Here is a 25788-nt window from a genome sequence, read left to right on the forward strand (position 1 = left end):
ACAGGCTGCCCTGTTCAGCTCAGGGGTTGCTTTGAGAATCAGATGTATGATGTACATGAAAGGGCTCTGAGAACATTCACACAGCACAGTACATGCACCCAACGTTATGACTGTGCTCTCCAGGGAACATGTAAAACATATGTGTAAATGCAGCAGGCTTCAGGCATGAATTCTGAAAACCTTAGAACGCTATTCCAGAAAGCCCCATGTAATAAGCCCGGTCTCCATTCTCCATTCTCAGTTCTAGCTAGTTACCAGCTATATGAACCAAAGGGAAAAAATTCATTCTAAGTTTCATTTTTCCCAGTTAAAAAGGGGAATATAAGTATCTTTCTCTGTCCTGTTTTTGACCAGAGACTGATTCCTACAGACTAGAACTGCATTCTCTGATCTCCTGAGCCTCCTTCTCCATGGCTCCAGTTGTGTTCCACCAATGCAAGGCAGAGGCAGGAGATCAGTGGGTAGGAGAGAGAGGTCAGGGCATTGCTCCCCACTCCCTTATCATCCTTCATTTGCATCTCTGGTAGTAGCTATATTTTGTGTGGTGAGAAAGGGAGACTTTCTTATCAATTCTGCTCTCCCTGTGTTTCAGTAAATATATATCTTCCTAGGAGTGGTAATAGCTTCCCACTGTTGCTAGATTCTGAGTACCTCACCACCCCTCATTTGCTACCTTAAATTTACCCACCCATTGGAAGTAACTCCTTCATTAAAGTATCCTCATCTGGTCTTTCTGGGGTAGATTTTGGTTCTTTCAGGACTCTGACTGACATACTTAAGGTTCTGCACTTAGCTCTCCAGGCACTGCCTTTGGAGACCTCATCCTTTTCCTTAACTTCAATCACCACCATTTTGCCACCGTCTCCGAAAGCTGACTACTTTAGAAGTCAATGGTGCATGATGTGACTACTGGGTAGTAGCTTACTGGTGGGAGCTTAAGATCTAGTTTGGGAACCTCAATAAATTAAACGCAAATACAAAACAGAATACAATTACGGGCAAAACTGTGTCTTGTCGAACACAGGCCCTCTTGGTGTCTGGGTTAGAATTCATCTTATCATAGATTAAATGAAGGCTATGAGGCAAATACTTTAACTTCTCTGACCCTCAGATTTCTTCTTCACAAAACAGGGAAGCTAATATGTATCTCATATGATCAAAAGATATAATATATGTGAAAATGCTTTATGGATTGTAAATTAAAATATGATGTCAACAAATGATGATGATGATCATGATCATGATGCTTTGTTGGTAGACAGGCAATGGGTCACTCATACTCATTATATGAATCCCCTCTCAATCCCCTACAATCCAAGAGAAAACTCTCTAATGCAAGAACACGCACCAGCTTCAGAGAGTCTAGCAAAGGAAACAGAATTTTTTATTTCTCATATGGCCTAACGTGAGTAAGTGGGCCTTTTTGGAAGGGTAAGAGGTATTTTGTACTTCTCTCTTACTTTCCTGGCAGATGGCCAAATGGAGAATTGATCATTTATGTTTCTGTGTTTCCTAAAGAAAAACCACTGGGAGCTGAAATGTCAACATTCTTCTCAGAAACCTGCAAATAATGAAACACAATTGTCTGGAAATCAAGGACCCCTCAACAAGTTCAGTGCATCTGACAGGAGTATGTTATAGTAGGACAAACTCTCAGGGCTTTGGGGACCTCATGGTTATAAGAGGTGACAGATGGAGCACTTCACTGCAGGTCACACACACACACACACACACACACACACACATACACACACACACACACACGGTTGGCAGCCATTGCTAGGCCTAGTCCAGCTAGCTTGGGCCAATGTTAATCCTGAGCGAGAATGTTCAGGGAGCAGAGGCCAAATCCTTTTAGTCCTCAGTGTTTCCAAGAAGGCAGCTGGCCATTGAGGTGCTGTGTGACCGATCCTGGTGAATGGTCATCTCCCAGATGCTGGGAGCATGAGCTCTTTTCTCCTCCTCAGCAGATTTGTGGCTCTGGATGAGAACCAGATCTTTGCATTTTCTTCATGCCTTTTAATTAAGATTTGTTAGAGCAAATCTCCACTTGCCAGACTTCATATTCATTGAGGAGGGACTTCAGCAATAATCAAGATCTTGGCCCTTATCCCCATCTTTGACTAGGGTCCGCTTGGGATGGAAGGTATGGCTCTATCTAATTGGAGAGTTTGAAGCAGCAGCTGAACATACAAAGATCAGTCTCTTCTGGGGCTTTCTGTGCAATTTGCCTGCTGAAAGACAGACTGCATTCTCATCTGATCTCATGCACGAGTCATGGGTCCTACTCTGGGCAAGGGCAGGGGTTGGGAGAACAGGGGGATCTGCAGTTGTCCAACACCCCTGCAAGCCAAGTGGAATAGCTCATCTCATTCAAGAAAGCTCACTGTGGCTGTGTATCCAAGTCACATCCTCCAGGCCAGCATTTATCAGTCAGAAAGCTAGAGTTTGGAATTCTTCCTGTCCAACTCTTGTCTATTAATCACTCAGATTTGAACTTGGGAGAAGAAAGCTCATCATTGGACTACCCTAAAATTGTATAACATTGCTTAATTATTGAAAAAAAAAGATGCACTAACTTCTTCCAAGGTGATTGTGAAATCATGGTATTGATGTCTTTTATGCCTTTTTCTAGTATACTTTATAGTAAATACGTAACTATTAAAGTTTGTTTATATAACAGGTTAACAAATAAAAAGAAGACATATAAATGAATATCCAGTGTAGAAAATTAAGTTTTAAAAATCATGATTCTTAGAGCCATACTATAAGGAAATATAGCATCTGATATATATGCTAACCTACTAGAAATTTTGTATAGCATAAACAAAAATAATAACTGATTTACTCAGCATCTATGAAAGTAAAGGTGATGCCGATTTTATCACATTTTACATTTATGCATTTTACAGGCTTTAATACTTTTACACACCTAACAAGCTTTTTTTTTTCCTTTTCTTTCTTTTACATTTGAAAATATTTCATTGACAAAGTCATGTCTTCATGGGCTATTTGAAGATGTTTATGTATATGTATATGTATATATATATGTTTATGTATATGTATATATGCTCATATATATTGTTAGATGAAGGGGAAAAAGTCCCAAGACAGGAAACTGTATAAATTTTAATTCCAATTTTATTACATATATGTGTATAATTCATATATTATATATGTAAAACCACAAAAAGAACTTGTAAATTATACACAAAAATATTGACACTGATTGTCTTTGTGGGATTGTGGATTATTTCAGTTTTCTTCCTTACATTTTTCTGTATTTTCAAAATATTCCATAATGCACATAAGTGAACTCTGTAATCAGAAAAATAAATAATATATGTTTGAAATACATATGATATTTGTATACTTCTTGCTAAACCATTTATTTTTTCAATATTTTATAACTTTTTAAAAGAAACAATATATGGACATCAGAATCTGAGAAAAGTGTTATTTTTGTATGCTTTTAAGGATGTTTAATAAAATAATTTATTTTGTATATTTAAAAAATTTCTAATTTCTGGCCGGGCACAGTGGCTCACGCCTGTAATCCCAGCACTTTGGGAGGCCGAGGCGGACGGATCATGAGGTCAGGAGTTCGAGACCAGCCTGACCAACATGGTGAAACCCCGTCTCTACTAAAAATACAAAAATTAGCCAGGCCTGGTAGTGTGCACCTGTAATCCCAGCTACTCAGGAGGCTGAGGCAGGAGAATTGCTTGAACCCAGGAGGCGGAAGTTGCAGTGAGCCGAGATTGCGCCACTGCACTCCAGCCTAGGCGATAGAGTGAGACTCCTTCTCAAAAAAAAAAAAAGAAAAAAAAAATCTAATTTCTTTCTTAGATTCCTCAGAGAAAAGGCTTCTTTATAGCATTTAAAATCAGAAATCTCTTCATGATATCCCCAAATCCCAAAATATAATTACATTTTACTTTAAGGATATTATCTTAAAGTGCTTGGGGTACATTTGTAGAAACTGTAAGAATGAATAAAATCAACTTTTATCTTAACATCTCTTACCATATGGCAAAAATATATATTATTTATTCAAAAATAACAAGATGGCAAAATTCATAAAATGTGGGTGACAAAACAATTTGATAATTTTTTGCTTTTATTTTTGCAGGAGTTGCAAAATGAAAATAAAATGGAATAAAATGTGATACACTCAAAAATTGTAAACCTGGGCCTACCAAAATATTTCCACATAGTAGGTGCTCAACAAACATTTGCTGAATGATTGAAATATCTTCCGAATGAAAAAATATGGTGATTCAACAGTAAGCCAAGTAATTTACCAATAAATGAATAAAGTTATTTACAATTATGATGGTAATCACTTCTTTTCCTCATTCACATTAAACACAAAGTATTGAAAAGAAAACGTTTGCATAGCACCTTGAGTTTCATCATGGAATCTTGACATAACTTGTCTCCCCGAGCTGCGGAAACTTCATCAATCCCGATCAATTTGGCTTTGTACCGGACCCCTTCACCTTTAAACCTCTTTATCAAAGTGGCTTCACTGCGATCCTGACCTAAAAAGAGAAAAAGCAGATTCAAATATGTAGCTGTGCAGACCCCAGTGGCTTTGAGTATCCACAATTCCAAGATCCGCTGTCTGGTTTCATCTACATTCCCGGAAAGTCAAATCACTGGACTCAGGAGAAAAGAATAGCAGTATTCCTAAATGTAAATTCTGACTCCATCCATTTAAGTCCTGAGACAAATTACTTCTCCTTTCTGAGACTCAGTTTTCTCAGGTAGGGAAAAATAAGTTAAAAATAACCACCCCAACAGGGTATTATGATAAATAAATCAGATAATATGTGTGAAGCATCTAATTCAGGGTTTGATAAGCAAGAGATATTCAACAAATGATCATAATCACCCACTAAGAGTTCATGTCCGAAATTGTTGTTAGAATAATATGAGCACCGAGTCTCTGGCATTGCCAACATTCAATAATAGCTTGGCCAGGGTCCAAGACCCTCTTCCCACCCAATTCCATGAGCTCTTTCACAGTGAAACTCCAGAGTAATTACCTGAGGACAGTTATCAAAAAATGGTTTTATGACATCTCTTCTGGTAAGTCATGTGTGCAGGAAAATAGGCTTCCACACTATGTGCTGTTGTGTGTCTGCACCTTCCAACAGGCTCTCTCAATAATTATTAAGATAATATTTTGCTAAGACACATCAACCAGGAGCTCAAGCATATCTACATGAAGTGAGGACAATAAAGTTAACTCTGAACTGAGCAAGCGCTTCATGCCAGATGTTCTGTAAACTTTATCCCCACTCTTCACAACAAGCAAACCATTTCCATTTTCCAGATGATGAAGTCGAAGGTCACAGAGTTTAGGTAGCTTGCCCAAGTAAACATAGTCTGAAATAAGATGAATACATAGGAATTCAAACCCATCATTAACCTCATCATACTTTGATTAGTCAGAGGTCTGGACATTGTACAGTTGGTTCTTAAAACCTGGAGTGTCCTTCTGTCTGTTATTCATCTCCTATAATATCCTTAACTTCAACTCTTGATTTCTCCTTCATCATGCTTACTTCATCTGTCAGAAACACAGAGCTGAGGACATTAGAGATAATTCAGCCTGTTTCCCTCTATCTACAGATGTGCAAACTAAGGCCTTTCTATATTGTGGGGTTGAGAATTATCGGAAGACATGCTTAAAATAGAAAAAAACAACAGCAATCACTAACCATCATATAGTACTTTTCTATTGACAAAACACAACTTTCATTTCATTCATTTATTCATTCATCCCTTACTGAGCATCTCCTCTGTACCGGTGCTATTATTCACTGGCAACAGATGAATGAGACAATATCTGTGCCCTTAGAAGCTTAAGTTTTTGGTGACTGCAAATACAAATGTATTTGCATTACGCTAAGTGTGTAAGAAGGTTCAAGCTTTAGAATCAGACATCCTTGTTTGGAATCATAGGTCCCTCTCGTAAGTCAACTGAACTGTCTGAGCCTCAGTTTTTTAATGTGTTGGATGACAATAAAGTATCTACCTTACAGCATTAGCATGAGCAGTAACTTCAGTGAGATAGTATGTGTGAAGTATGTATTTACATGGTAACTTTTCTACAAATGGTAGCTGTCCCACTGTTTTTCTTTTTTTTTTTTTTGAAACAGTATCTCACTTCATCACCCAGGCTGGAGCACAGTGGCGCGATCACAGCTCACTGCAGCCACGACCTCCCAGGCTCAGGCAAGTCTCCTACTTCAGCCTCCCAAGTAGCTGGGACAACAGGCACACACGGTCATACTTGGCTATATTTTTGTAGAGATGGGGTTTTGCCATGTTGCCCAGTCTCAGACTTTCAGACTCAACCAATCCACCACCTTGGCCTCCCCAAGTGCAGGGATTATAGGCGTGAGTATCACCACTATTATAAGCCCAGTAAAAGAAGCAAGTAGAAGACACAATCCTGGGAGGGTGGGAGGCAGAGAGAAGGAATGTCTATGTCTATCCAGCCACAGGTCTGGACCTGTGGTCCTGACCCCCAGTTTTCTTTTTGTTTTTTCCATGACACCCCTGCTGACTCCTCATATATTAAAGCCTTTGAGTAATATTCCACAAAGCAAATATAACACAGGGATGATTAGTCAGAAACTATAATCCGTATAATACTTAAGCCTCAGCATTCTGTAAGAGCGAATGTCAGAGACTAGAGCTAAGAACAAAGGGACATTTGCCATAATACACCTTATATCATAGCTAAACATCCTCCTCTTCAACATATGACACTATTTCAGTCCATAATAACATCTCTTTCACCACTGAGACTTCCCCAAACTTTAATTATAATCACAATACCAGGTAGCATTCATCACAAAGCATATTATATGCATCAACTTGTTAAGTCCAGAAAATAATTGTAGAGGTAGGTACGAGTATTCAGGTTTCATAGATGAGGCTCCAAACTGAAAGTGTTAGAGGCCATGTAACTTGTCCAAACTTACTGAGTAGAACCTGAACTTAGATTTGTCTCATGTCAAAACCCACGTTTGTGGTTTGCTTGTGTTCTGTGTTTTCAAGCCTGTTCGCCTAACCACCATGATCAGTTGCTTCTTTTCTACGCAACTTTCTTATAAAGCCCCATCTTTATCTTGACCAAAACTCACCTGGCCCAAATGTGATGGTACTCAATACATTGGCAGCATTAAAACTCCATGGAAGGATGGAGAGACAGCTTGAAAATGGAACAGATTCCAGTCATCAGTCATCTCTAAAAAACTGTCTATGAGTCAGATACAAAGAAGCCTTAAGAAACATTTGTCAGGACACAGAACTCTGCCGAGAAAGAAGATTCATAAGAGAAGGCAGAGCCATAGCAGGTGAACAAGGGCAGAGATTAATAAGAAAATATTAGGCCATTTAGAGGAAAGTAGGGAGCCCAATTTAGATTAGGACCTAGGGCCAAGCTAATTTGTATGAAGGGCACTTATGCAGTAGATAATCCAGTTTCTCATTAAATGCTTCACCATTAAAAGGGTAATTTTTCATGAGTACATCTTGAGCAAGGTCTCAGTTATATTAGTTAAGAAATAAATAACAGATATCGGAGCCATAAGGCTTTAATTCTATCTGAGGCACATACAATATAAAGGTGTTGGGAATAGGATCAGTCTTCATGCATTTTAGGTCACCATGAATCCCAGACTATGTTACTGAAAACACCACTGACCCTCTGCTTCAAGATGGGCAAGAGAAAGACCACACGTTTAAGGAAAATCACCCATATGGTCACTGTTATTGAGTTTTTAGTACAGTTACTGTGCCAAGGGTTTCACACGCAATTTCTCATTTAATCTTCACATTTGCTCTTGAGTTAGGCTCCATAATGAGTCCTCTTTTCAGAAGACAACACAAACACCCAAAGTCCACAGCATAACCTGAATGTTTAAATAACAGCTATATTGAGATACAACTCACATACTGTACAATTCACCATTTTAAAGTATAGAATCCAGTGGGTTTAGTATAGTCACAGAATTGTATAACCATCACCACTATCTAATTTTGGAACATTTTTGTCATCCCACAAAGAAGCCCTGTACCCATTAGCTGTCACTCCCTATCTTCCCATTCCCTCTGGTGCTAAGCAACCACTAATCTCCTCCCGTCTTTATACATTTGCCTATTCTAGACATTTATATAATTGTTATTTTATAATATACAATTTTTTGGGTTTGGTTTCTTTTACTTAGCAGCATGTTCTCAAGGTTCATCCATGTTATAGCATGTATCAGTAATGCTTTTTTTGCTGAATATTATTCTATTGTGTGGTTATACCACATTAGCTCATAGATCTTTGGGTTGTTTCCATTCTTCAGCTATTATGAATAATGCTGCTATGAACATTTGTGTACAAGTTTTTGTGTGGCTGTATATATTCAATTCTCTTAAAATTATTCCGAAGAAAGGAATTGTCGCATCATATGGTAACTCTATATTTAACTTTTTGGAGAACTGTCAATTTGTTTTTCCAAAGTGTCTGCACCATTTTACAACCCTCCTAGCAAAATATAAGGTTCCAATTTCTTTACCAGATGTTCTTCCCAACATCTGTTATTGTCTGTCTCTTTTACTTTAGCCATCCTAGTAGGTGTTAAGTGATATTTCATTGCAGCTTTGACTTGCATTTCCCTAAGGAGTAATGATGTTGAGCATCTTTTCATGTGCCTATTGTTCATTTGCATATCTTCTTTGGAGAAATATCTATTCAAATCCCAGAGCCTCAGTTTGAACCCAGGTCTTGTGTAAAATTTCATGGTCTTAACCATGAACCATAGGAACCATAGGAATCACTATGGGGCTTCCTATGACCTACCTCTGTGTTCTGCTACAGAATTTAGCCTCATTTTTTCGTGTCACAGCTACTTGAGTAGATGTCTTATGGATAAACTGGCAGACGTCTTACTCTTAAAGACAAGTAGTTCACAAGCACACATGCCCTTCTTATGCCTTATGTCATTTAATCTTCCAAGGTTACTGAAAACCACCACTGTTATTATTTTATGGATGAAGAAACTGGAGCCCAAGAGGTAACTAAAGTTACTTCTCATCCTGTCCTACTCCAAGGCTTGAGTTCTCCCACTGAGAGACAATAGGCCTTGATGGTCTAGAACATGAGTTCTGGATTCAGAGGACCTGAGTTCAAGCCCCAGCTCTCTGACCTACCTCCTTAGTTGTATAATCGTTGGTAAGTTCCTTTACATGTCTGCCACAGTGTCCTAAGCAGTTAAGTATAGATACTAATGGGTGCTCCCAGTATTAAAGAAATGACAAATAGCATACAAGACAGTGAGTGATTGGCAAACAGTAAGAGCTTAATCAACATTGGTCATTGTTATTTGGGTGATCATACTTTCAGTTTGTCTGCGACAGCCCCAGAAACTTTTGTACTGACACTGTTGTTACTAGCATCCCTCATTATTCTCAAAAGTATTCCAGTTTGGTTAAGAGACTGTGTGGTTACCCTAATTAATTATATGATCATCATTTGTATACTGTCCTGCCTCAGTGTTCTTCATGCTAGGCACTGTGCTAGCTTCCAGTGGTACATGGGTGAGCAAAAAGTGTCCTTTCTCCTGCCCAGAGGAAGCCACATTTCAAAAGGCGTCATATACAATTTCTCCACCCCTTGGCACTATATGACACTCACAGCTCTGGTCATATTTTGTTAAGCAATGTGTTTTCCTAAGGGGTGGAGAAACTGTATTTGGTAGGGAGATGATTAGGAAGAGCTACAGAGGAGAGATGGCATTTGAGTAAAGCCTTGTAAAAAAGGAGGGTTTCAAGAGGTAGGGAAGAAGGTGAGAAGCTTTCCAGATAAACAAAATGTACAAGGATATTTGGAGAACAGTGAGTAGTTGGCTTAGACTGTTTAGCAATCCTAATTATCTTCTGGAATCACCTTGGGAATTTTTTAAAAACACCACCCCAGAGCCTATACTGGTGGAGTGCACCTGCAATCCCAGCACTTTGAGAGGCCAAGGAGGGAGGATTGCTTGAGCCCAGCAGTTTGAAACCAGCCTGGGCAGCATAAGAAAACCCTGTCTCAAAAGAAATTTAAAAAACCCTGGCACCTTACAGATTTTGATTAGATGGGTCTGCGGTGAGCCAGGGCCAATTAATGTACTTGCAAAACACAGTACTAGAGGGCATGGCTAGAGCGATGCACTCAAAGGGCAGACAAATCATGAAGCATCTTGGAAGCCAAGTTAAAGCCTTTGAACATTGTTCTTAGACCACAAGGTCTATTAATGACCCAGGTTTGTTGTGAGGATTAGATTAAAAAGAACATTATAGCAACATGTGGGGAAGTATAAGGCTGTAATTAATTGATTCATTCATTCCTTTATTTGATATTTATTGAGTGTCTACTATATACGTGTTCTAAGGTCCTCCAGATGCTGCAGGAAACAAAACATATAAATATCCCTGTACTCAGGGAACTTATATCCTAGTGGGAAGTCAATGGAGTTTTGCTGTAATTTTCTAAGTTTAGTGTAATGAAGAATCCCCTGTAAAAACCACAACAGCAACAACAGGTTCCTAAATCCCTTCCAGTGAGATTCTGCACCAGCCAGAGGGACCAAGCAGATGGAATTGATTCAGAGTAATTCTCAAAGATCACTAGAGAACAGCAATGTAGAGAATCCCTTGTAAGATGATATTTCTCAGACTGGGGTCCTCAGAACAAAACTTTCCAAAGTTTCAATTTGGGGTTTTCAAATAGATAATAATCTCTTAAATATTTTTAAAAATTTAAATTTGTGAAGAAAAAAAGTTGTTAGTAATAATATATTTCAAAGATACTTTCATAGACTTCAACTCTGGTTTCTTAAAAACCTGAAAATTTCTTTTCTAATGTTTAATTTTTTTTTTTTTTTTTTTTTTTTGAGACACAGTCTCGCTCTATTGCCCAGGCTGGAGTGCAGTAGCTCGATCTCTGCTCACTGCAACCTCCACCTCCCAGGTTCAAGCGATTCTCCCGCCTCAGCCTCCTGGGTAGCTGGGGTTACAGGTGCCCGCCACCATGCCCGGCTGATTTTTGTATTTTTGGTAGAGATGAGGTTTCCCCATGTTGGCCAGGCTGGTCTCGAACTCCTAACCTCAAGTGATCTGCCTGCCTCGGCCTCCCGAAGTGCTGGCATTACAGGCATAAGCCACCATGCCGGGTGTCTTTTCTAATCTTTAAAAGGGATCTCCTTAAGTGTGAGAAATACTACTTGGTATCATTTGTGGCTGTCTGGGTGAGCATACCTCTGGCAGGTCAGGAGTGCCAGTGCGGTAGGGGAGGGTGCACCACATCCTTAACACTTTCCTACTTGGCTCAGAGGAAAGCAATCCTGTATCGAATGGTTTGAAGATTTCTGCTCTGATACACCTGCTTCACTTGGTTCCATAAACAAACTAATTGCCAACAACTAATAGGGAATGCTTTATCTGGGATCTCAATCCAAGGCTCTTCAAGTAATCCGAGAATTGAATTTTCAATGTAGCACTGATTTGAATTCCAAAGGAGGAAGATATAGGGGTTATGCAGCATCATAGAGTTGCCTGGAAACCAAGCCCCCTGAAAGAAAAGCAGTAACTGCCTGGAAAGAAAGAAGGAAAGAGGCCTGGATTCAGATGTTATCTCTGCTACTGTACCTTCACCTATGTGATGTCACTTGCCCTTGAGGTTCAATCTCCCCAGCTGCTCAATGAATGTTCATAGGGAAAAGATGGTTTCAAAAGTGTCTCCAAGTGATAATTGTATACGATGATATTTATGAATAGTTAATATATTTATAACTAATTTATTTATAACTAATATTTATAACTGTATGATGTACATTGGATATATCAGTTTATTGTTATAGCAACATTATGTGGTGGTTGTCCACATATGTTAAATCTAGGAACAGAACTGAGTTGGTAAGTGCTAAAGCTAGGATTTGAACCCAGGTCTTCATAAATCCACAGAACTTAGGTCTCCAGTTTTACAATCACATACCACTATTAGTAAAACATTTTTGAGCACGTAACTCTAAGATAGATATATTTCTGTATAAATTACATACATGTACTACTGATAATCTATATATTATTATTATCATTACTATTTTGAGGCAGAATCTCACTCTGTCATCCAGGCTGACGTGCAGTGGTATGATCTTAGCTCACTGCAATCTCTGCCTCCCGGGTTCGAGCGATTCTCGTGCCTCAGCCACCCGAATCACTGGGATTACAGGCGTACGCCACCATACCTGGCTAATTTTTGTATTTTTAGTGGAGATGGTGTTTCACCATGTTGGCCAGGCTGGTCTCGAACTCTTGGCTTCAAGTGATCTGCCTGCCTCGGCCTCCCTGAGTGCTGGGATTATAGGCATGAGCCACCGCACCCAGCCCCATATAGTATTATTAAAGCTTACTTTTTCTTAGAACTTTTTGGATTAAAATCAAACATAAATAGACATCTTATATTTTTCTCAGGTACCAGCAGATTATCTTGCATAACCCGGGGAGTACCTGTATCTCACAATGATTTTTTGCAGATCTCTCTGAATGAGACATAACAACTTGAAAAATCCTCAGGGAGTCACAGCAAACTAACAATCATAATGAGACATTTGGGTTTCTAAGAATCATCCATTTTGGTTTTTTTATTTTAATTTTTCTGGTTACATAGTAGGTATATGTATGGGGTTTTTTTTTTGTTTGTTTGTTTGTTTGTTTTTGAGACGGAGTCTTGCTCTGTCACTCAGGCTGGAGGGCAGTGGCGCAATCTCGGCTCACTGCAAACTCCACCTCCCAGGTTCACGCCATTCTCTTGCCTCAGCCTCCTGAGTAGCTGGGATTACAGGCGACCGCCACCACACCTGGCTAATTTTTTTGTATTTTTTAGTAGAGATGGGGTTTCACCGTGTTAGCCAGGATGGTCTCGATCTCCTGACCTTGTGATCCACCTGCCTCGGCCTTCCAAAGTGTTGGGATTACAGGCATGAGCCACCACCCCTGGCCGGTGTATGTATTTATGGGGTACACAACATGTTTTGATACAAACATGCAATGCATACTAATCACATCATGGAGAATGGAGTATCTATCTCTCAAGCATTTATCCTTTGTGTTACAAACAATCCAATTATGCTCTTTCAGTTATATTAAAATGTATGATTACATTATTATTGGCTATAGTCACCTTGTTGTGCTATCAAATAGTAGAACTTATTCTATTTTTTGTACCATTAGCCATCCCCACTGCAGCCCCCACTACCCTTCCCAGCCTCTAGTAACCATCCTTTTACTCTCCAGCTCTATGAATTCAATTGTTTTGATTTTTAGATCCCACAAATAAGTAAGAACATGCAATGTTTGTCTTTCTGTGCCTGGCTTATTTCACTTAACCTAATGATCTCCAGTTCCATCCATGTGGTTGCAAATGACAAGAGTCTCATCCTTTTTTATGACGGAATAGTACTCCATTATGTAAATGTAACATTTTCTTTATCCATTCATCTGTTGATGGACAACAAATAAGGTTGCTCACAGATCTTAGTTATTGTCAACAGTGCTGCAACAAACATGAGAGTGCAGATATCTCTTTGATATACTGATTTCCTTTCTTTTGGGTATATACCCAGCAGTGGGATTGCTAGATCATATTGTAGCTCTATTTCTAGTTTTTGAGGAACTTCCAAACTGTTCTCCATAGTGGTTGTACTAATTTATATTCTCACCAACAGTGTACAAGGGTTTCCTTTTCTCCACATCTTTGTCAGCATTTGTTATTACCTGTCTTTTGGATAGAAGCTATTTTAACTGGGGCGAGATGATATCTCATTGTAGTTTTGATTTGCATTTCTCTGATGATCAATGACATTGAGCACCTTTTCATATGCCTGTTTGCCATTTGAATGTCTTCTTTTGAGAAATGTCCATTCAAATCTTTGTCCAATTTTTGATCAGCTTACTAGATTTTTTCCTATGGAGTTGTTTGAGCTCCTTATATTTAATCCCTTTTCAGGGTGGTAGTTTGCAAATATTTTATCTCATTCTGTGGGTTATGTCTTTACTTTCCTGTGCTGTGCAGAAGCTTTTTAGCTTGATGTGATCCCATTTGTACATGGAAATTTTGCTTTCATTGCCTGTGCTTGTGGGTTACTGCCGAAGAAATTTTTGCCCAGACCCATGTCCTGCAGATTTTCTCCAATGTTTTCTTGTAGAAGTTTAATAGACTGAGGTCTTATATTTAAGTCTTTACCCATTTTGATTTGATCTGTGTATATGGCAAGAGAAAGGGTCTACTTTCATTCTTCTGCATATGGATATCCAATTTTCTCAGCACCATTTATTAGAGAGACTTTTTTTTCCCAAGTGTATATTCTTGGTAACTTTGTTGAAAATGAGTTCACTGTAGGTGTGTTGATTTGTTTCTGGGTGCTCTATTCTGTTCCATTGGTCTATGTGTCTATTTTTAGGCCAGTGCGGTGCTGTTTTGGTTACTATAGCTCTGTAGTATAATTTGAAGTCAGGTAATGTGATTCTTCCAGTTTTGTTTTTGTTTTTGTTTTTTTTTCTGCTTAGGATGGCTTTAGATAGTCTGAGTTTTTTGTGGTTCCATATAAATTTTAGGATTTTTTTTTCTATTTCTATGAGGAACGTTATTGGTATTTTGATAAGGATTGTATTGAATCTGGAGACTGTTTTGGGTAGTATGGACATTTTAATAATATTGATTCTTCCACCCTATGAACATGGAATATTTTTCCATTTTTAGTGTCCTCTTCAATTTCTTTCATCAGTGTTTTACAGTTTTCAATACAGAGATCTTTCTTTTTTTTTTTTTTTGGTTAATTCCTAGGTATTTCATTTTATTAGATTGCCTTTATTTCTTTTTCAGATTGTTCACTATTAGCATATAGAAATGCTACTGATTTTTGCATGTTGATTTTGTATCCTGCAACTTTACTGGTTTATCAGTTCTAACAGTTTTTTTGTGGAGTTGTTAGGTTTTTCCAAATAGAAGATCATATCATCTGCAAACAATGATAATTTGACTTCTTCCATCCCAATTTGGATGCCCTAAGAATCAACCATTTTGAATTTCATAATGGATCATGGGGAACCCTGTAGGCTGCTGTCTTTAATGTGTAGCAGGGCTGGGGTACACATATATATCACTTAAAAGAGTCTGGAGGCTTCCAGGAGTCACAGTAGATGTGCCTCCGCTTTCACCCTCTAATCCATGCCCCACACTGCTTCCAAAAAGATCCACACCAAGTGTCATCTCATCATGCACTATCTGACCAAAAATGAAAAATGTTATCCTCTTCCACCCAGCTGCCACAGGCTCTCCTCCCTCTTATTCTCTCACCTCATTTGTGCCCTCTTGCCCCCACCCTTAACTCCAGCCTTATGGGCTAGGCACCTCCATGCCCTTTGCCCTTGCTAGTTCCTCTTCTCCAACTGTCTCCTCTACACTTGAACTCTATAAGGGTAGGAACTGAAATTCATTTGACTGTGTCCTCTGAACCTAGCGTGATGCCAGAACAGAGCAGACCTGCGGTGTCCAGATCTGCTGAATAACTGAAAAAATGATTTAATTAATTTATTTATGCTAAAGTGGGTAATGGACTCCAGGAGTCAGGACCACTTGGGGGAGGCATCTAAGGGGTTATTAAAAACCCCTCCCATACAGATCTTATTTTATACAGTCCATAAGTATGATTCATTTAGTCCTCAAGGAATAAAATTCCTAATGGGATAAAATAAACATCACACTCATAGTCATTTTAATATTGGCTTTGCTTTATGCCATTAGAGAAGAGCATTTCTCAACCTCATCACAACCTGATCATCTCCTAACCGGGGGAATGGCTCTCCTCTGAATTTAAATCCAGCCGATTCTTCTGGGCACAGAGTAAATTCCCCATTTTCCACAGACCTCGAAGATTCTGTCAGGAAGTACACTAAGTAACTGTCTCAAAGCAGAAGCAGCAGAAGTCTCTGCCAATGTTGAGGTCCCAGAATGGGAGTCACCTTGCAGAAGCTTCAACAAAATCAAATGCCTCTGTCAGGAGTCAGGATCCGAAGGAGGAAGGCAATTAGCATTTTTTATGACACTGAAGCAGAGCCCACAGAGTCCACTGGAGTCGTAAATGGCCTCCCACTCCAGGCTGCGCTCTAAAGACCATTAATGGCCAAATAAAAGTTATTTCACATCCAAGACTATTATCTTATCTCTCCCACTCATCATAGATTATAATAAGCACAGCCAAGATAAGTATTTTTTTTTCCTAATGTGGTCATTCTGGCTGTGAATTCTTTTAACTTTTGACAGTTACAATATTTCCCTGTCTTGGAGGGGTCAACTCCAACATATTTCTTATATCAAGCTGAGTATTCACTTCTGTGCATTAGATACTTAAACATCTAAGGAGATGTCTTATCAGCGCAGACCACTATAATAAAATACCATAGACTGCATGGCTTAAACAACAGACATTTATTTCTCATGGTTCTGGAGGCTGAGCAGTCCAAGATCAAGTGCTGGAAGATTTGGTTGTTGGTGAGGGCCCCCTTCCTGGCTTGCAGATTGCCACTGTCTCACTGTGTGCTCAGAAGATCTCTTTTTGTGCATGCACTGAGAAAGAGAGAGAGAGAGAGAGAGAGAGAGAGAAAGCCCTGGCCTCCTTTCCTCTTCTTACAAAGCCACTAATCCCATCATGAATACTCTACTTTCATGATGTCATCTAAAGCTAATTATCTCCCAAAGACCCCACCTGCAAATATTATTACATTGGGAGTTAGGGCTTCAACATATTAATATTGGGGAGACACAAACATACGATCCATAATGGGGGCTAGAATTAGGAAGGAGATGTGAAAAGCTGAATGCTACCTGAGAAATGAGCATGCCTGTCCCATTCTCATAAATTGTTTTATTTAAACTTCACAACAACCTTGGAGGAAAGAACTGCAACACATTCAGAGAAGGAGGAAACGGAGGCACAGGGAAATGAAGTCATTGGTGCGAGGCCACGCTGCTAAGGAGGGCGTAGCTGCCTAACCCTTTGAGGTCGGAAGGCATCACATTTAAATCACGGTATGCTACTTCCTGTGTATAAGCAAGTTAAAGTTTCTGAGTGTTAGGCTCTTCATATGCAAAACATTGTGGTTACCTGTATTCCTCTGTAGAATAGTTACTAGGACCATAGGAATAATATATGTTATGCTCTTAGCACACTGCCTGGCACATGGAAGTCATTCAGTAAATATTTACTGCCTTCTTTCTCCCCAAGTAATATATTTTACATTAAGCATCAGTGGCCCAAAGCTAACCATAGCAAAGTTGTAGTGCATTGGAAGGAATGGTCCCAGCTGTTTGGGATTTTTTTGTTGTTGTTGCCTGGGAATAAGGGTGCAATTAAGAACAGGATGTTCCTTCCCGAAGGCAATAGGGAGATCACCTTGTAAATTATTAACACAGAGAGATTCTCCCTCCTTCTGCATATCTATCTGAATCAGAGGCTATCCATCCTGATGATAAGAAAATTTCGAAAGGTTGTTTTACTTTCCCCCTTGGCTGTCAAACATCATTCTGTCCATTGCTGAAAGAGCCCTATTGTCTGTTAGGCTATCCAATTTAAGAACAGATTGTGGGGGAATTTCAGGGCCCAGCAGACAGATAACTTATTTTACTCTAAATTCTATCTTGCAATTATCCAGGTGTTGATTTGCAATGGACAAATAATTATGTATGCTGGCTGTGTAGGAGAGAATGCTGATTTTATGTAATTAACTAGCTGGGTAGTGAGCAGAACAAGAGGAAAAACACACTTAGGGGGCTGTTAAAATGTGTTTTTATGAACATGGTTGCTGTCATTATTGCTAAAAGGTAAACTAATTAAAGAGCTAAAATAATATTCAACCTATGACTCATGCACACATTTTCTTTAAAAATGTTCTCTGGTACTTCTGAAAAGTGCCTTGCATAAAAGGCATCTGGAATCAATTTTCACGTTTCTGTAGAAAGTGAAGTGCTATGGTACCAGGCAGAGATTCTCATCTGAGAACCTGGGAATCTGAACTTTAAAGTTTGGCCAATGATTCTGAGGCAGAACCAGATCAGGAACCACTGAGTTATAAGACAGGACGCTTGTGGGACCTCATATGCATAACCCAATTCTTCTGCTCCAATAGTTGGTCCTTTTTGCATTTCTCTGGCAAAGGTCTACTAGTATTTATTTCAGGTTTTTTTTTTCTTCCTCTGGGTCTTTTATTGTATTTGAAAAATATATTTTAAGACTGTAGGACATTATTAATAAATTCTTAATAACAAAAGAAAATGATCATCAGCCACATTCTGTCTCTGCAAAAACCCTTAGACTATCTCCTAGCAGTGTCTCTTGAAGCACCATTTTCTAGTTTCTCTGAGGAAAAGACTAAAGAGATGATCATGCCAAATCAGTTAAGGGCATGCTTATATCCCTGGTGGTGGTTCCCACATGCAATGGCAAATTAAAGCAAGAAAAAGCCAGGCCCTACAATCTCCCCTTGGTAGACTGTAAGTTTATGAGGGCTAACATTTTCTTAAATTTGTTTTCTGTGTATCCCATACAACAAGAACAGTCATTGGCATACAGTGGGTACTTAATATTTGCTGAATAAATAAATATATATCAAAAGGGAAATTGCTGTTTCTGTACACAGAGTTTCCAACGCCACCCTGCCACCCCCAACACACATATGCATAGTGTCTTAGAACATTGGAAAACCAAGTTTAAATTTCAGTCACAGGGCCCAAAGGTCTCAGGTACTATTAATCAGGCTCAGCAGTTCTATGACTCCCAGCAATTTTTCCAGACAAAGGAAAGCCAGGAATCATAGAAAAATGGCCAATAATATCTTCACGTACAAGGTAGAAGCAGCAAGACAAAAAAAAAAAAAAAAAAAAAGGAAAAACCTCTTGGTTTTAAGACGGTAAAGACAGCTATAATCATCAGTTGCTGAGTCTTTCTGACGTCCTCCCATGAAGGCTTGAGGAGCGTAGCCTATCCTGCTCATCTGGGCAAATCAAGGAGTGACTAGTCTGACTTTAAATCTGCAGCTTTATTTTTACACACTTGCTTACCCACAGCCTAAGGATGGCGTGACAGCATTTGCTTCTTAGATTTTCTCATCAGTGGGCTTGTGTCTTTTTCCTGGTGCCCAAGAAACAAAGCAGGTTTTTTGGTATGTGTTGCCATTAAGAGTAAAGTATTACACTAGGTATATAATAGTTTATTTCATGTTGATACCACTCTGCAAGGCAGGCACAGAATAGGCTTTAAACAATATGTAAGTTCTTTTTCATTGTCCTTTTGTTCCTCACAGCCACCTAGCATGACATGCATTATTAATCCCTTCTTATAGTTGAGGAAATTGAGACTCCAGGAGATAAAGACTGGCCCAAGTTCACAGAGCTAGCAAAGGCAGGGGCAGGTGTGCTAAAAAAGAAAGGCATGTAAAGAAAAGAATGCTGAAAGGAAGAGAATCCAAAGCTTGAGGCTGGGTAAGAAATAGGACTGCATGAGACAGGGAAAGGCCAGATCTGAATCCACAGTCATGATATTTATTTGTGCTTCTGTCATTTGTAACCAAAGGGTCCTATTTTGGTTGTGGTGCTGCACGGATGAAGGCAAGGCTGAATGATGCACATGAAATACAGCAGGAAAGCTGGATCTACAGTCAAAGGTGAAGAGGACCAGGGTAATGAATGAGAAAGGACAGATACCAGGAGAAACCTCCATTCTCATCTGGTGTTGCCATTCAGGATCTTCTTGGTCAAGAGCAAGTCACTTCATCTCACTACAATTGAGGAAATAATGCTTACCTTGCAGGATGATTGTCGGAACTGCCTGCAATCATATCCCTCCTCCTAGTAGCAGCATCCAATCAATAACTGGTTGATTAGATGGGGCTGGGTATAAACACCCAGGCCCCATGTCTCAGTTTGAGACAATCCTGAAGGAAAACTCCCACGGGATAGTGGGAGCAGGTGACGCCTTTGCTGCAACTGCATCACGGTTCAACTCTTCCCTCTGCCAGAGCCTACCACCTTCACTCCTCCAGCGGTTCTGATTCAGAGGACATTCCCTTATTGGGAATTTGCTGTAGTGTCCTACAGCAAATCTTTGTCTCAGTCACTGGTTTCCTAGGGACTCCACCAAAGACAGTACAAAATCAATGCATTTGGGGGAGAGTCTGAAAGAGTCTTGATATGGAGAGACAAGCCAGAAAGTTCGTGCAATAATCCAAGAATGACAGGCGTGGTGCTCAGAGGCAGCACCGAGTGCTCAGATAATGTAAACTAATACTGATCAGATTCCAAGAGGCTAAGCCTAATCAAAAGAGAACAACCAGAGCTAAAACTTTTCCTACCCAAGGCAACTCAAAGTCCCCCGGCAAAACTGTTGCGTGTTTGCCAGCCATCCTGGGCAGCTGGGCTGCACCTGTAAGACAGAGCAGGGTGATCACCCATCCAAAGGCAGCCTCACTACCACCAGAACCAGGAGATGCAGTGAAATTTGCCTTTCTAAAGTTCACAACTTGCTTCCCTTTGGCTAATACACATAATAACAGGTACCAGGCACTGACAAAGTCGTATTAGCTGATGAGGAGTGAATATGACCTTTTTTCCAAATAAAAAATAACAAATGTATTTTTAAAATTTTTGTATTTCAGTTCTTTTAAACAAGTGCTTTTTATTTTTTTAACTTTCTAATTACAAAGGGAAACATGTTCAAGACTTAACATTTGGAAAGTGTAGAAGAGAAAAAGGAGAGGAAAGCCACCCATAACACCACCCAGGTACATTTATGGTTGCATTCAAGTGTATACTCTTCCAAGCTTTTCCCTAAGTGCATACACACGCAAACACCCATTCTTCAAAAAAAAAAAAAAAGTTCATACTATAAATCTGTGTCTTGCTTTTTTCATCTGGCAGCGTAAATTATATATGTTTTCCCATATTGATATTTTTGTGACATGATTCTTATTGGCTGTGCAATAGCCCATCCTACAGATGTATCACAATTTATTTAAGCAGTCCCCTATAATTGGATAGTTAAGATGTTTCCAATGAAAACAGAATAAAGAAAACAATATTGAGGATTCTTACTAAAGGCAGTGAAAAGATGCATTTTCCCTGCGAGAATGCCTCCTTGGAGCCTTTCACGCTTATCAGAGTTGTTGCTTCATCATCTTCCCCTCCTTTCTTCTGCACCAGAAAAGTGTGGGCTCAAAATAGACAAATGTGTGAAAACAAATGCAAAATTTACCTCTCTGGTTGTCTTGCTTTGGGAGAAGCACAGAAGGGCAAAGGAGGAGTGTTTGTATAATTTGGATTACAAAAGAATGCCCGTAAGCTCTGGACACATTGCCCATGGAAGCCTGAGGGACCAATTGCAAAGAAGGAGGAAGCAGGAGAATTGGATTTACTCAGTGAGTCTGAGGTCATAGGCAGTGCAGAACCCCTAACTTAGAGCTCTCACCCAATGTGTGTTCACACTAGGCATTTGAAGGCTTGCTCTTGGACCTAGACAGAGGTTAATTAAACCACAAATGAACAAGAGTTTCTATTTGCACGTGCAACCTGCAATTGGCCACAAACTTTCTTCTGTAGCAGCTACAACTTCCATGGGGTCACCTCCATTAGAAAAAATCCAAGGGATTTAAGTGGGTGTCTCTGCCAGCAACTTGTTTGCGGAGTATTTTTTGTAAAGGAGATTATTTTGGTCTTGGTATATTCTGGTGTGAACAACTCTTATGTTTTATCTTCCATCTGCCTTCTAAACAAGAGTGCTGTGTTATACTATTGACTGACTAAATTATTTCTTTAGAGTACAAAGGGGTATTTGTGATGAAGAAAACAGAGAGTGCAAATCAATTATTTACTGAGAAGGCTGCAATATAAATTACATTTGATTAAACTCAGAGATAAATCTCAGTGATAGAGGGTTTAAGTAGAATGTGCTGGAAGAGACAGTGACTAAGTGTCCCCACCCGACAGTTGTTCCTAATGAATGCAAGGGCACAGGCCTCAGCCCTGACTCCCTGGATTTCTATCATGGTCAGCCTAATATTCATTCATTCCACCAACATGTACTGAATGCCCACTACGTGCCAAGCACTGGCCCAAGTCCCAGGGCACAGTCATGAACCAGAGGGAGGAAGCTCCCGCTCTCCTAGAGCTGCTGATCTGAGAGGGGGAAGGAAGATAATGAGGAAGTAAATAAATAATGAACAAGATCATTCCAGATAGGGATAAGTGTTATGAAGGGGATAAAATAGTCTGATGAAACAAGGAGTGACTGGGAAAGGGTGGGGAACAATTAATTTAGACAGGCTGGTCCATGAAGGCATTTCTGTAGAAATGACATTTGAAAGGAGATGTGAACAAGAAAAGGGCAGTCATGCCAGGAGGGAATGTGTTTGGCCTGTTTATAAAACAGAAAGGAGCTAGTATGATCACAGCAGAGCAAGCAAGGGGAAGGGGGTTAGAGGTGGAAGTCAGGAGGGAGGCAGGGCTCCCTCGTGTGCTGCTTTGTGAGGCAAGGTAAGGAGGGCAGGTTTGGTTCTGAGTGCAATGGAAAGCCACGCTGGTGGTGGGGGCGGCGGTACCTTATGCAGGGGCATGACTCACATTTTGTAAAGATTTTTCTGAATGCTCTGTGGAAAGGGGGAGAAGTAGAAGCAGGGGCTAATAATCCAGATGAGTGACGAGACAAGGATGACAGCACTAGATAAGAAATGGGCTGAATCAAAAAATATGCTGGAGGAAGAGCAGAAAGGGATTATTTTTAGATTGTGGAAGAGACAGGAAAAGGGAAGAACAAGTGTAACTCTGGGTTTTGGCTTGAGCACCTTAGTGGAAGGCAGGGTCACTTCCTAATACAAAGGCATCAAAAGCCAAGAGAACCTGGTGCCTTAATATTCCATTGAAGGCCTGTCAAATTCTGGTTGTGTGGAGAGTATGCAGGATTCAGAGCAGAGAGAGCAATTTCCAAATGCCTGCTCTGCCAGTTTGGGTCCAGTCTTGATTAAGTTTCAGTGCCTGGAACTGTAACCTTGGGCAGTCACATTCTCTGGGAACTTCATTTCCTCATTTATCATATGGAAGAGACAATATGAGGTTTGAGGTCTCGGAATGAAATGAGGACAAGGGAAAGTGCCTGGCCTGTCTGGTGGATAGACACTCCATAAATATGAGTTCCTTTCCTTTCAGTTTAAATTTAGTGCCAAATTTCAGATTGAACTATGTCAATGCTGAAAAACCATGGCTGCTGCTTCTTAGCACAGATATGACCATATAAAAGCACCACAGAATTTTGGGGATTTGTTTATTTCTCAACTGATTTATTATTTTTAAAATTGCTTCTATCTCACTGACTTCATGAGAGCTGGGACTTGTCTCATTCATCAAGAGTAGACACCTTTTGAGATACCCTCCAGATCTTGGTGATTGAACCACCAGCTGACCCTCCCATCCAGCAATAGAACCACAGTGACCATGTTTATACAGCATGACTTTACCTGGAGATGGTGACACCAATCCAAGCTGTGTTGATTAGGGACAGCCTTTTCCTGGGGAATTGGGTATTCAAGCAGAGAGAGGAGTCAATCTCACCTAGTGACCAGCATCGTAACATGTAAATGTAGAATTCTGAGTAGTCATCTTTTCCTGCCATTGGCCTGGCTAAGAGGAAGCCAATCTTATGAAAAGGCAAAGAGAAAGGATGTTCTGAAAGAAGAAGTGACCACAGAGAGAAAGCACTGCTGGGGCTCTTGCTGATTCCAAATTCCTGGGTCATCTTTGCAGAGGCTCTGCTTACTCATTCCCTTCCTTGGGTTCTGTGAGACACCTCTGGTTCCTTATAATATGCCCTCCTATTACAGTCAGGTCTACTCAGGTTGATTTGTTACTTGCAACTAGAAAACTTTCACTAATACCAGACATGAGTTTCTGTATATCTGGTGGCAGGGAGACAGTTACTCTGTACTTGCTGAAGGGAAGGGATGGAGACAGTCTCACCACAGTTGGCTGCCCCAGGGACCCTTGGTTTACCCTAATTCTCCCTCCTTAGCTTTCCAACTGCAATACAGCCATAAAAAGAGAAAGTTTCGGTTGGATGATCTTTCCCCTTCTTTCATCCCCAGACCTCAAATTGCCGCATTTTGTAGTTCATTCCCCAACATGGCTTAGCATTTAATTAATTTAATATGTAACAGCCAATTATCTCCTAAACAACTTTTTTTGTCGCCTTTCTGCAAACAAAAGAAAAAATAGGTTTTTTTTTTAATCAGATAACAAAAGCATGAAAACCTACACAGCCTTGCTAATTTCAAAAAAGTACCTCCCTTCCAAAGAGCTCAATATGGTCTATAAACATGATCTTAATACTTCTTAAACCATGGCAGCAAATTGCCTGGAAGAAAAATGTGACAAATTTTGATAATGAGCAGTAATAGGATAAAACAATCAATAGAAAACAGAAATAAGTGTTAAATCCCATTTAGTTTAATTCAGTCAACATTTTGTGAGCATCTTTTATGTGACTGCCATTGTGCAAGGAGCTGGGGCTGCCATTTATTAAACATCTATTGTGTTCCAGATACAGTGATAAACATTTTCACATACATTACTTTTCATTTAGCCTGAAGAAAAATTTCAACTGCCCTAAGAGGTAGTATGATCTCAATTTATGCAGAGGAGGAAATAGGCTTTTTGAGATCAAGAAACTTGCCCAGAGTTCACATAGCCAATAAGGAGATGTGATTCATCCAGAATTCACCCCAGCTATGTGTGTTTCCACATCTGTTTGCTTTCCACTCTACCTCTCTTTTCTCCCTGTGGAGATAAGTAAGATAAAATTTCCTCCTTTAAGAAGTCCCCAGTCTACTGGAAGAAACACAGGTTAAGATGAAATGTAAATAGAGGTGCCACCAATTTGCAAAGGAAGCACCGAGGAAGAGTTAGACATTCTGATGGATGGGTCAGGGCTGGCTGCATGAATCAGGCAGCATTTCAGTGGAGGACTAAGGGATGCTAAGGACTCCAGAACAAATCTTTTAAAGGAATCCTAACAAATGGAAATAATCATTATTGCATATTTACTCAGTAAGGTCCAAGTAGGTGGTAATAAACATCATAATGGAGAAGCAATTATGCTATGTTTATGCCATCAATAGCCCTATGAGGTAGGTATTGTTATTTTTTTAATTTGGTGGATGAGGAGTTAAAAAAGCTTACAATAGACAGGTAACTTCTTCCATATCATGCAACCTTCATTTGGCTGCCAATTAATTCAAATCCAGCTCTCCTTGACTCCAAATAATGTATTTTCCCTACTAGACCATGTCTTGCAAAGAATTGAAAAACAAAAAAGAAGAAGAAAAGAGAGATACAAATTATAGGTGCACTAAATTATAAGGCCTTTGTATAACCTCGAGGAATTTACAATCAAGTCAGAGTAGTAACACATAAACCTTTGAAAACTGAAACAAGTAATCAAGGTAGAAAAACAAGTTCAGAACAATAGAAGTCATGGCCCAGGTCAGCCCAGGAATAACTAGCATATATATTATACTGGGCAGTATCATAGGGGTTTGGAGAAAGAAAAGATGACTTTGAACCAGGGTTGTCTGGGAAAGTTTTGAGGGAGAGGTGGTATTGAAGTCAGGTCTCAAATAATACGCACAATTTATCTGAGT

General features: G+C 39.6%; 1 protein-coding gene across 11 annotated transcripts in view; it reads right to left on the reverse strand.

The window, feature by feature from the left end:
- DAB1 (DAB adaptor protein 1) overlaps positions 1 to 25788 on the reverse strand; it is a 1551949-nt gene that overhangs the window by 146108 nt on the left and 1380053 nt on the right. For 8 of the 11 annotated variants that reach the window (NM_001379461.1, NM_021080.5, NM_001379462.1 and 5 more), the window contains one exon: positions 4405 to 4544. In NM_001379461.1, coding sequence (NP_001366390.1) covers positions 4405 to 4544 — 140 coding nt within the window. Of the gene's footprint in view, positions 1 to 3123; positions 4545 to 25788 lie in introns of those variants that run through there. The other 3 variants (NM_001353980.2, NM_001365794.2, NM_001365795.2) reach the window with 1 other exon arrangement.

The sequence above is a fragment of the Homo sapiens genome, chromosome 1 (assembly GCF_000001405.40).
Source record: "Homo sapiens chromosome 1, GRCh38.p14 Primary Assembly".
In the NCBI taxonomy this organism is placed as follows: Eukaryota; Metazoa; Chordata; class Mammalia; order Primates; family Hominidae; genus Homo; species Homo sapiens.